Genomic DNA, 11716 nt, shown 5'->3' with positions numbered 1-11716 from the left:
GCAGCCTCCTTGCTGTTATTCCTGTCTTTGCCAGGTTGCTCCTGCCTGCACTCCATCCTGCAGGTGTCATCAGTTTGATCTTCCTAAAATAGTTTTCACTATGCAGTCTCCTGCTCAGGAACAAGACTGCCTTCCTGTTATTATTGGATCAAGTCCTTCTCTGTCTGCCTGATGTTAAACTCCGTGCCTACCCACAGTTACCTCCCAGTATGTTGCAATGTTATTCAATAAATGTTTATTCAATAAATATTTGACCATGAGCTACTTACTGGCTATTGGATCATAAAGAGGAAAAGGTGTGGGCTATGCTTCAAAAGGCTTATAGTTTGATAGAATAACCATCTACAATTCGTTACTTCAGCTAAGCTAGGGTTCTTTACTATTCGCTAGTCAAGCAAAGTTATTTCTGCCTCTGTTCATACTGTGTTCACAAGTTACAGGGCTTTGTAGGCCTTTCCACATATTTTTTATTTTTATTTTATTTATTTATTTTTTTTTTTTTGAGACGGAGTCTCGCTCTGTCGCCCAGGCGGGACTGCGGACTGCAGTGGCGCAATCTCGGCTCACTGCAAGCTCCGCTTCCCGGGTTCACGCCATTCTCCTGCCTCAGCCTCCCGAGTAGCTGGGACTACAGGCGCCCGCCACCGCGCCCGGCTAATTTTTTTTTGTATTTTTAGTAGAGACAGGGTTTCACCTTGTTAGCCAGGATGGTCTCGATCTCCTGACCTCATGATCCACCCGCCTCGGCCTCCCAAAGTGCTGGGATTACAGGCGTGAGCCACCGCGCCCGGCCTCCACATATTTTTTAAAATTCCCATAATTCAAGGCATGCTTAGGTACTCCCTTTCTTTCTAGCTCACCTCTCTCCTGTCTATAATTTCTTATATTTATTGTGTAGATGTATATACCATTTAGTATCATGTCAGGTAATTCTTTGCAGTTCTATAATTTCTGTACTTTTTACAAGGTGCTTTTTTTTTTTTTTTTTTGAGTCTCAGTCTGTCGCCCTGGCTGGAGTGCAGTGGTGCGACCTTGGCTCACTGCAACCTTCACCTCCCGGCTTCAAGCGATTCTCATGCCTATAGTCTCTCAAGTAGCTAGGATTATAGGTATGCGCCACCACACCCAGCTCATTTTTGTATTTTTAGTAGAGATAGGGTTTCACCATGTCAGCCAGGCTGGTCTTGAACTCCTGGTCTCAAGTGAGCCACCGGCCTCAGCCTCTCAAAGTGTTGGGATTACAGGCATGAGCCACCACACCTGGCCTACAAGGTACCTGTATATGCTTTAGCTTTTTTGAACCTCATGATACTGACGTAGATATGGCAGATATTATTTTCATTTCATAGGAAAATAAACAGATTCCAAGAAATTAGGGGACTATTGATACCTATGTGGTTAGTGAGTTGTGAGGCTATTTTTAGATCTGAGCTCTTTTGAATTTTTTAAGGCAGTGTGGCCTACAGGAAGAGCAGGGCCTTGGAAGCCTAGATATGTCTGTGGTAATGGTGAGGGGTAGTAGAAAGCACAGAGGGCTCTGGGTCAGGTTGTTTCCAGTTTTGGCTCTACTCCTCACAGTCTGTGTGTCTTCAGGGAAGTTGCTCAGTTCTCAAAGACTCAGTTGCCTTGTCAGCATCATCCCTGGCCAACCTCTCAATGGGGTTATTGTAATGTCTATATATGATGACATTGTTCTTAGCTAACTTTTATTTAGCACTTATTAAATACCAGGCGGTGTCCTGGATGCTTTGTTTGGATTATCTCAGCTAATCCTCACGATACCTCTCTGAGATATGTTCTTTGTTACTTCCCTATGACGGATGAGGAAATTGAGGCATAGAGATGTTAAGTAACTAGACCAAGTTTATGTAGCTACCAAGTGATAAAGCCAGGAAAGTAGCCTGAGTCTAGAACCAGTACTCAACCATGGTTCTATAAAATGTCTTTTTTTAAGGTGTCCTATAGACTGTAAAGTGCTCCGAACATGTGAGGTCCAGGCTGCAAGGATGTGCCTGGCCCTGCCCACCTGTGTAATGGCGAATAGGGAAAGGAGGGGGCGACATGGAGATTTTGCAGGGAGGAGAGAGATTATTTCCTAGGGGGTCTGGCCAGGACTGAAGATTTGGAATTGTGTTTTGGGGCCATATTTCTGAATGTTGGCTGTCATTCTCCTGTTGGGCTACCTGGCCTATCTTAAGAGGGTAGAGCGGGGTAAAGTCACTGTTCTGCCAGTGAAGTAAGCCCAGTGCAGAAAAGACAGGCGTCCCTAGGCCCAAGGGAACTAGATCCATACCATACTCAGTGGAGCCATAGGTCAGACCCCAGGCCAACCTTGTTGGCTGTGTAGGGGCAGGGACCCTGGTCTTTTGGTTTCTAGCCCATGATAGATGGGCCAGTGAATGAAAGCAGTGTGGTAACATAGTCCCTTGGAGACCTCTCATTAGAATGCATAATCTCATTAAATTAAACAATTCTAATTATAAAAGTAATACATGGTTACTGAAGAATTTTTGTGAAATACAAAAGCGTAGAAAATAAACCATTTCATTGGGTCTGAGATGCTAGGAGGCAAGGCCAAGAGTACAAGGGGCAGATGACTGAGGTGGACTGGGCCTTGTGCTACAAGAAGAAAGAAGGGCTCTCTGCTTTTGACTACTGCCTTTAGTAATCCAGTTGAGTCTGATACTCTTGTGTTTTACAACCTGGCCCCTTATAACAACCATAAAGGGTGAAGGGTGACTATGGCAACCTTTGCCAGCCTTGTGGGAGGGGGCTAGGGTACTTGGCTTGCTTTGCTATGTGTGTGAAGTTGCCTTCATTACTGCCCTTCTCTTGCTGCCTCCTGGGCAGGGCCTGCCTCCTCTGGCTCAGTGTGAGATTGAAATCCAGGCCCTACTCACATGAATTTGGACCCTGAGTCCAGAGTTTAGAGAGGGGAGGGAGAGAGAAGAGCACCAGAAAGGTAGATGAGAGACCCTTATTTTGGCTGTGTGGAGGCTCTAGGCAGCTGATCGCTTTGAAGTGTCACTTGATGCTTATGGGCCTGCTGAGGCCTTACATCCTGGGGGAGAGGGGAACAGTGATGGTGAGTGGGTACAGACTAGGAGGACGTGTCAAGACTGCTTCCAGCCCTAGGACAGTGTATTCAAGAGTTGAGTGCTGAGGGTCTGTGGCGTATGCCCAGCCCTTAGTTTCTGGCCCACGTGAAGCAGGGGGGCACTAGGACCCAGAGGCTAGCACGGTTCCTGACAAGTCTAGAGCAGCACTAGCGCAGAGTGAGACTCATCAGCTGGCAAGCAGGATTCTGTGTCTCTGGGTTCAGGAATCCTCAGGCAGCAGAGGGGACTTGCTCCTCAGCCCCCATCACTGCCCCCACCCCTACCCGTGTAGGCCACCGAGTGAGGCCCATGGACTGGGGAGGGCTGTGCCTGACGACTCCTGTGTCCCTCTATGAGGGCCCAGCGCCCTGACCCTCCTGCCTAGGTTTCTACCTTTTCTCTCTGTCTTTGGCCAGCTGGGGGAGGGGGTAGAGGCCGGGTGAGCAACATGGCACAGAGCAAGAGGCACGTGTACAGCCGGGTAAGTGGCCCTAATCTGGGATGGCCCTGGAGGGCTGCTGGGGAAGGCCTGGCTGCCTGTGGACATCATTGCTGTGGGGGCTGGGGAGATAGGCTGGAGCTCAGCTGAGGGCACTCAGACTGTGTTTTCTAAGGAGCCCTCGAAGCCCTGGTGGTGTAAGGCTGGACAGGCTTCCCTTTACAGAGTTGATCCCTAAATGGGGACTAGCAAGGCCTGACCTCTGACTCTAATTGGCCCTCATACCAGGGGCTCCTGAGGGGGTCCAGACTATCCTGGGGACTCAGAATGGGGATGATGGCTCAGAGAGGTCTTACAGTGAAGCCTTTCTTAAGAGCTGCTTTGTTATTTGTTACTTGCTTTCTTTCTCTTCTGAGATAGAATCTGTAGCTACTGTTGTGGCCCCCTGGTTCTGAGAGGCTTATTGGGGTTGGAAAGTGGGGGAGTCTCTGACTTTGGGTTCAGCCTTTTATATCACTGGCAATTCCTTTTATTGTCAGGTCCATGAGAGCCATCCTGCTGTTCCAGGTGTGATTTGGGGTCCTGGAGCCTCTGGGAACTACATCCTCACCTTCCTGGATGAGCTGTTTGGGGAAGGGAATTAGGCAGTGATAGGCTGGGAGGTGTCCTGGCTCTTCCCTGGCTCTGCCAGGGCTCCCTTCTGAAGCTATTATAAATGAGAGTATCAGAAGGGTCTCCCATAGAGTCTTTAGGATGATGGTATCACTTCATCATGCCTCATTCATCTGTTTGCTGCAAGGCCCCTGGTTCATGGAGTTGCTGTTGCTAAAAATGACCTAAGTGTGATTTTCTTCTAAACCATGGGCCTATTTGGGACCTAATTTTCTATTGTGTTCAGTCATCATGGGTGTGCCGAAGCTAAGAGCTGCCCAAGGACAGTGTCTTAGTCTGTTGTTTTGCCTTGCCCATCTGTGGAGTGATAAACCATTCATTTGGACCACTGAGCAGAGTCTTGGGGACAGAGCGAGGGGTAGATCCACCCAATTTACTTGGCCTGTGTTTTCCTTTTTATAGCAACATAGCATGGAGAAGAATCTCCAGAGCTTGGGGATAGAGAGTTGACCAAACAAGACTCAGGCCAGGTAGAAGGGGAGTTGAATGGTTGAATGGGCTGTGGTGAAGCATCTGGGGTTTCATGGTGGGTTTGTGGATGGGGGTGGGAGGAGTCAGATCAGGAAGGAGAGGTGGTGACTTAAGGGTCTGGAAGGAGGCACAATTGTGTGCCTCTGAAAGGGTGAGGCCTAAGAAAACCATTTGAAACACAGAGGAGACAAGTGACAGTGGAAGGGGAAACAGGATTCTGTAGGATCACCCACTGAATTGCCTGTCTTCCCAGCTCAGACTCCTGAGTCAGGGCATTGGGTTGTGGGGAGCCTGGTCTAAACTGAGTTATTTGCTTGATCTTATTTCCCCTCCTGAGAAGAGAATTAAGGAGACAGTGCTCCTGAGAAAGCAGCCATGTGGTGACATTCACAGACTGGTCAATGAATTCTGATTTGTTATAAAAAATATAAACTTAAAAATTCTAGCAGATTCCAGAGGAATTTGGAGAAATCTTAGAATATCATTGGCATTTTTTCAAAGGGGAATTTGGGGGTCCACCCAATTCTGTAAATGGGGTTTAAGAAAATGACTCTGGTTGTTTTTCAGTCCAGCATCTTGGCTGAGGCATTTCTTATACATAAGAATGCCACCTTTGATCTGAGGCCTCTAACTGTCTGTGTTTACCTGTGTCTTTCAGACGCCCAGCGGCAGCAGGATGAGTGCGGAGGCAAGCGCCCGGCCTCTGCGGGTGGGCTCCCGTGTAGAGGTGATTGGAAAAGGCCACCGAGGCACTGTGGCCTATGTTGGAGCCACACTGTTTGCCACTGGCAAATGGGTAGGCGTGATTCTGGATGAAGCAAAGGGCAAAAATGATGGAACTGTTCAAGGCAGGAAGTACTTCACTTGTGATGAAGGGCATGGCATCTTTGTGCGCCAGTCCCAGGTATTCACGCCCTTCTTTTGTGTCTGTGCATGTGTGCACATGTCTGTCGCATGTGCAGCTGATGTGTTGGTACTTCGTTTTCCTGAGCATGGGCATAAGCCTCTGGTTGGGAGAGTGGAAGGTAGTGGGGGAGGGAAGATTGAAGATGCATCCTTAGGGAAGCTGCCCTGTACTCTTGGTTTGCTTGGAGCCTGGGGAGGGGCCCATATTACAGCCGTCCTTGATCTGGCTATATTGAAACTATTGATCTGGCTATATTGAATCTGGCCTCAGATCCAGGTATTTGAAGATGGAGCAGATACTACTTCCCCAGAGACACCTGATTCTTCTGCTTCAAAAGTCCTCAAAAGAGGTAACAACCACCCACTTAAAGTTGCCTCCCCATAGCCAGGAGGAGTCCCCAGGACTTCTCCTCATAACATGGGGCCACAGTAGATCCTAAGATTTTTTTCCGTCACTACCATATTCCCTTATTATATCTCCCCCTACCTCTCTATACAAGTACACACTTTGTTTCTGTTTGCTTTCTACAGAGGGAACTGATACAACTGCAAAGACTAGCAAACTGGTGAGTGATTTGGGGGTGGGAATGGGGAATAATAAAGGGAGGGGAAGGAGAAAGAGGAGGGATACCCAGTGCTAGGCAGGTAGAAGTAGTAGGTGAGTCTGATTTGCCTTCTAGTCTCTCCAACTTCCCTAAGAAGGAGGCTTTCTGGGGATTAATTGCTGTGTTAGAGTTACAGTAAAGATGGTAGAAGGGAAAAACTCATAGGCTCCAGAAGTTCAGGGTCAAATGAGATTGAGCTGAGGGTGATAGGAAGGACAGGTCTGGCCCTAGTAGTGTAGCCAACTTCCTACCTTTTGGTACCCAAAGATGCCAACATCTAAAGGGTCTGAGGGTAAGGTTAAGGTAGAAGATAGAGGAAGAAGCAATCTCCTATTCACAAGTGAATGGCAAGGAGCCGGGCCCTCTGCCTCCTGTTTTAAGCTGGATGCAGAGAGTGCTTCCTAGTTCTTCTCTGCTACTCTGTGCAGGATGTGTGTGAGGTGGGGCTGCAGACTCTGCAGCTTCTCTGGGCCAAGGTGTGAACATCCTGGAAGCTGATCTTTGAGGGGCTACTCATCTCACCCTGACTCCCCCCTACCCGCGTCTAACCTGTGTAAGCCCGAGTTGGTCTTAACACCTATGCCCAGGACATCTGTTCTCTAACTCTGCCCTTTCCTACTCCTCATGCAGCGGGGACTGAAGCCTAAGAAGGTGGTGTGTTTACTATTTGTGCCTGGGTGGATGGGGGCCATGAGCCCCTTCCCCAGCTGTCCTGCATGTCCCTGGGCTGCTGCATGCATGTGTGTGTGACCTTGGGCTGGGATGGCCAGAGGAAATGGTGGCCTTGGCTTTCAGAGTTCCTTTGAAGGGTGCAAGAACATCAGGCTCAGTGTCCATACCCAGGTAGCACTCATTAGGGATGATTCTCTCTGCCCCAGGACTCCAAGTCAAAGATTCCCCAATCAAAAACTATAAGCATTTGACTGTAAATAGCAGCAGTGTGAAATAGATCATTTACTGGGTTACAGTGTGTTCTCACTTAGCCCGAGCTTGGACGACTGTGGAAGGATAGACTGGGGGAATGGGGCTGAGGAAGGTACCAAGTGAGGGGGTTTTGCAGGAAGATGGGAGGTCAGGGAACAGAGCCTAGGAAGAACAGTCCCAAGTTGGAAAACCTAAGAGCCTTCATGTGCCTGCCTGTGGATGGGCACAGCCATAAATATCCCCACACCCCACAACTCTGCCCCATCAGTCTGTCCCTGTCTCCTTCCTCTGGTGGTGTGCCTGAGGCCTACCTCCTACCCCTTGCAGCCTTTCATCAACCATCATTGGAGTGGGGCTCAATCATGTCACGTCCCCTCCCCTTCCCACCATAGACTCTTTAAACTCTTAGATCACTGCCATGACCACTTCCTCAAACCAGCCCCTGCCTTGGGCCTCTGCCCAAGCTGTTTTTGACCTGCATGTGCCTGTCTGGCCTGTATGTACTGTGCTGTATGTACAATTCTGTGATTTCCTTGTCGTCAGCCTATCTCAGGCCATTCTGACATTGCATGGAGAGCTGCTGGATTGGGGCTGTGGGAGGGAAGAGGAAAACATCTCCTTTTCCAGGGGGAAACCAGCTCCTGGTTGGTGATGGGTCCTTTGGAGTCTTGCCATGGTAGAGACCACATGCTGGTACTTGCTTTGGTAGGGAATGGGGATATAAGGAAAATAATGCTGTGAAGGATCCTGGGCCCATTTCAGAGTCATAGAAACTTGGCTTTGTCCTTTGATTATTGTCTCCTGGTTGGGGCTTCCATTTCACCTCAGGCCTTGAATAGAGAAGAGCATGAAACTATGGTCTGATATTTATGGAGTTCTGGCCCCAGCCTGGTCTGACCCTGGGCTGGGGCCTGAGCAATGCCCAAATCCAGGGGCTTTGGCAGCTGCCTGGGGAAATGTGAAAAAGCCCAGCCTAGGCCACCCATGCTGCCCTTCTGCACTCACGTTGGAAAGTGTCAATCAGACAGTTGAGTGCCCCCACCCCGGAGCACCCCAGTCTTCCTCTCCAGTAGTTATTTTTCAAAGCAGAGGGCCCCTGCTCTCACCCATGTGGATCAGGGAGCTGGTTCCAGAGCAAAAGAATATGCTTTGAAGGGGAAGGCAGAAGAAAACTCAGATGTCTCTGCAAAGTGCCTAGTTCTTTTTGGAAACCCTTTAGAGACAGGCTTTAACCTGTCTACAACCAGGGGATGGTTGGAGAGGAGCCCAACAGTCATTAGAGCTGCTGCTACCCAGATGCGTGTTCCGCAGGGTTTCGTAGTCACTGTGTGTGCTCCTCAGAGCTGAAGCCTGTTGCTGGAGGGGCACTCTAGATGTGTGTGCCAGATGAGAGACTGTAAGGGTGTTGCCAGGTTGTATAAGAGACAGAAGTGGAGTTAATGGGGCTGTGGGTAGGTGGGTGGCGGGGGCAGAATGTGAGTATGATGAGAGAGACTGCTGGAGCAGAGAGGCCATGTGTCCCTCCCCAGTGATGCCCTGGCCCCATAGAATGCCATTTCTGGGATAGCCCCTGGCCCAGTTTTTTGGAGCACGCTCTTGGGGGTGGGCAAGGGAGGGAAGAGAGGAGCCAAAACCTGTTCTTTGGAGAAAGAAGCAGGACAAGCTCTGCGCATGACTGTCATGAGGAGGAGGAGCCAGCAAAGCCCTAGATGGTTGCTAGGTGACTGAGGAGCAGTGGCTCCACCCCCATGGAGCAGAGGAGGGTGGGTGCATGACGTCAGGTGGAGCTGGTGCTGCGGCCACTGAGGCTGCCATCAGCCTAAGCTGGTGAACTGGGCCAGGCACCGCTCCGGTGCCTGCCGGAGCCTGGCGATCCAGCTGCACGTCTGCGGGGGCCTCTGTGTCAGAGCGGCGGCCGTTTGCAGGCTGGGAAGCTGCCGCACCGGGAGGCTGAGACTGCATTGTTGGGATTTGATGCACTAATCTCCTGTCTCCGCCGCCTTTCCCTCTGTTCGGTCTCTTGCCCTCCCTCCCTTCGTCTGTCCTTCCTCCGTGTGTTTGTCTATCCTCCTCTGTCCCTCCTCTTTCCTCTCCTTGCTTTCTTTGGTTTTCTGCAATGATGAGACAGGCACCGACAGCCCGAAAGGTACTCTTGCTTGCTCTCGTCCTGCTGCTGGGTTGCCAGGGCAATGGTGGCAGCAGGCTGCTGGGGTGGGGGTGGGGGCTGATTGACTTCATCTGTCTACCTGGTCGGGGAGGCGGGTGAGGACGAAGGTGGGTTAGGGAGAGGTGTGTGTCACCACTATGCCCCACACCCTGGGCATTTGCTTACTGCCTTGCCTGCTTTTGGCTCTGCCTGTGTTCCAGGCCTTAACACCCAGTGGCCTCACAGGCTTGGGCTTCAGGCAGCCTCTACCGCATACCGGATCTGGGAGGGTTTCCTGTGGTAGAACCTAGGGAAGCAGGCCCAGGTATCTCAGTGCCTCTAGCAGGCCTGCCTGCCTCACCCAACCTTTGCTAGAATACCTCTTGGTTGTTCTCCCAGTATCCCCCAATCCCCAGGATTTGTATCAGGGCACTTTACCAGGGTGGGATGGGGAACCTAGAATAGTCTTTGACCCACAGCTGTGGAAGCTTAGCCCAGGGTAGAAGAGGTGGGAATTGGCCTCAGTGTATGCTGGAAATAGGGCCCAAGCCAAATCTTGTCTTGGCTAGAGCAGTGAGATACTGGGTAGCAAGAACACTATTTGGAAATTGGAGTTAATTGTCCACTTACCATTTTGCAGTAACCTGAAGGGGCTGTAGTTTCTCTGTGCTGCTGCCCACCCCCACCTCCTTTCCTACAGCTGGGTGGGGTTACTTTGCTGAGCTCTGGGCTTCTGCTAATGCAATATTCATGGTCCTGACACCTGAGCCCTCTTCCCTAGTGATCGGGACTGCTGCAGGATCTGGTTCTGGGGAAGGGGGTTGGGGGAGGGAGGACAGCAGCATTGTTCTACCCTAGGGACCTGATCTCCCATTTCTGGGCTTAGATTACGCTCGTCACATGGGGTTTCTAGGGAGTTCTGTGTAGAGTCTAGCACTTGAAGGAAGAGGCTGACCTGGGAAAGTCCTTGGGAGTGGTGGCTGGGCGGGGCCTCTGGCTCTGGACTGGAGTTGGAGAGATCGTTAGCAGGAGGACTGGTCTCATGGGACCTTCTCACTAGCTGCTTCCTTGTTCTATGGCTCAGCCTAGAGATGGACTTCTGGGATTTCTGGGGTGTCTGAAGGGGTGAGGCCTGCAAGGATTGGACAAAAGTGGGAGCAGGAACCAAGGGGAACAGGAATTCTGGGTTCCTGAAGTAGGAATACAGTGATTCACTGAAGGGAGAAGGGGATGGGATGGGGGGGAGGGTGGCTAACTGTAGCCCCATTCCTGTTATTTCTTCTGCTCTCATTGCTGTCCCTTTTGCTCTCTGTCTTTCTGCCATTGTCCTTTCTTTCCTGACTACTTCTCTTCTGGCTCCTGTTGCCTGTCCAGACCACAACTCGGCGACCCAAGGTGAGAAAACAGGCCCCTGTGTGAGCCACTGCTGAGTGTACACACACGTTTCAGGCATGTGGATGTATGAGGGCACGTGTATGAGCAAGTGAAAGTTCGTCATAGTGTATCCTGGGTTCTCTTCAGAGGAAAGGGTGGGGGTTCGCAGTGCTGGCAGGCACCTCCTGGGGAAAATGGCTTTTGGCTTTTAGGAGGTTGTCTAAGCCAGTAGCTTGAATGCAAAAGAGAAATGAATGGGGTTGTGGTGGTTAATCAAAGCAGGCTTTCTTGAACAAGGGAATTTTGACCAGTTTTGATGGGAGGGATTGGAAGAAAGATGAACTTGGCCATGTAAAATGTCAGGGGATAAGGAGGTGAGTGTGTCTGTGACAGGCCTTGGGTGGGGATGTCTGAGGATTGCACATGATCTCTGAGTGTCAGCCCACTGGGAGACCTTGGGGCTCAGCACTTTGAGCACATTGGCAGGCCTGTCTGCTCCAGGGCTTGAACTTCAGGTCAGCTCCTCTGCCCACCTTCTCCCCTGCCCCACAGGGGCATGGATAGTGTTGCCAGATCGGGGGAGATGACGAAGAGTTGTTTCAAGGGGGAGTCTAGGGGTACAACTTTCACCTTGGCCCTTTTACCTGCAGGGTCCTCTGAAATAGACTGAGAGAGGGAGATTCAGCTTGACTCCCAAAGAGGGCTTAGCAGGGGTAGAGAGCCTGGCACCCCCACTTTTGGCCCAACCTTCTGTGGAAATTAGATTGTACTTTTTCCGTCTAGGGGTGGAGGGCATAGACCTGGAGCAAGGATGGGACTGAGAGTATAATGGAGTTGCTAGAATGATCACAAGTGGGTCATAGATGGGGGTTCTAGGGAATAACGGATTCTGCTCTTAAGGGTAGTGCCAGAGCTAGGAGGAATGTGGAGTCAGTGCCAAGCGAGGAGCCTTATAATCTTATGTCTTTCTCTTATCTTTTCCTCCCTCTCTCCTCTGCCTCCATCCTCCCCCTGTCCTTTGTCACTATCTCTCTCTGCCTCTCTGTATCATTTTCCTTGTCCCCTTCATTCTTCTTTTCTC

The 11716-nt window shown here is 50.5% G+C and overlaps 1 protein-coding gene across 9 annotated transcripts in view, besides 1 other annotated feature; it reads left to right on the top strand.

The window, feature by feature from the left end:
• Window positions 1-11716, top strand: part of DCTN1 (dynactin subunit 1) — a 30712-nt gene that overhangs the window by 8283 nt on the left and 10713 nt on the right. For 2 of the 9 annotated variants that reach the window (NR_033935.2, NM_001190836.2), the window contains exons 2-4: window positions 5339-5584; window positions 5858-5936; window positions 6118-6152. Coding sequence is in view for 8 of the 9 variants with exons in the window: in NM_001190836.2 (NP_001177765.1) it covers window positions 5357-5584; window positions 5858-5936; window positions 6118-6152 (342 nt within the window). In the remaining variant the exon portion in view is untranslated. Of the gene's footprint in view, window positions 1-3272; window positions 3580-5338; window positions 5585-5857; window positions 5937-6117; window positions 6153-6821; window positions 6843-8916; window positions 9262-10635; window positions 10657-11716 lie in introns of those variants that run through there. The other 7 variants (NM_001135041.3, NM_023019.4, NM_004082.5 and 4 more) reach the window with 6 other exon arrangements.
• Window positions 2961-3472: an enhancer, noted in NCBI's record as "H3K4me1 hESC enhancer chr2:74607239-74607750 (GRCh37/hg19 assembly coordinates)". NCBI's record gives its function as "activates a minimal SCP1, AML or CMV promoter by ChIP-STARR-seq in naive H9 embryonic stem cells {active_cell/tissue: H9 hESC(naive)}" and the evidence as "EXISTENCE:reporter gene assay evidence [ECO:0000049][PMID:30033119]".

The sequence above is a fragment of the Homo sapiens genome, chromosome 2 (assembly GCF_000001405.40).
Source record: "Homo sapiens chromosome 2, GRCh38.p14 Primary Assembly".
NCBI classification, from domain to species: domain Eukaryota; kingdom Metazoa; phylum Chordata; class Mammalia; order Primates; family Hominidae; genus Homo; species Homo sapiens.
The sequence above is the reverse complement of the archived record's forward strand: the minus strand, read 5'-3'. Positions and strand labels throughout refer to the sequence as shown.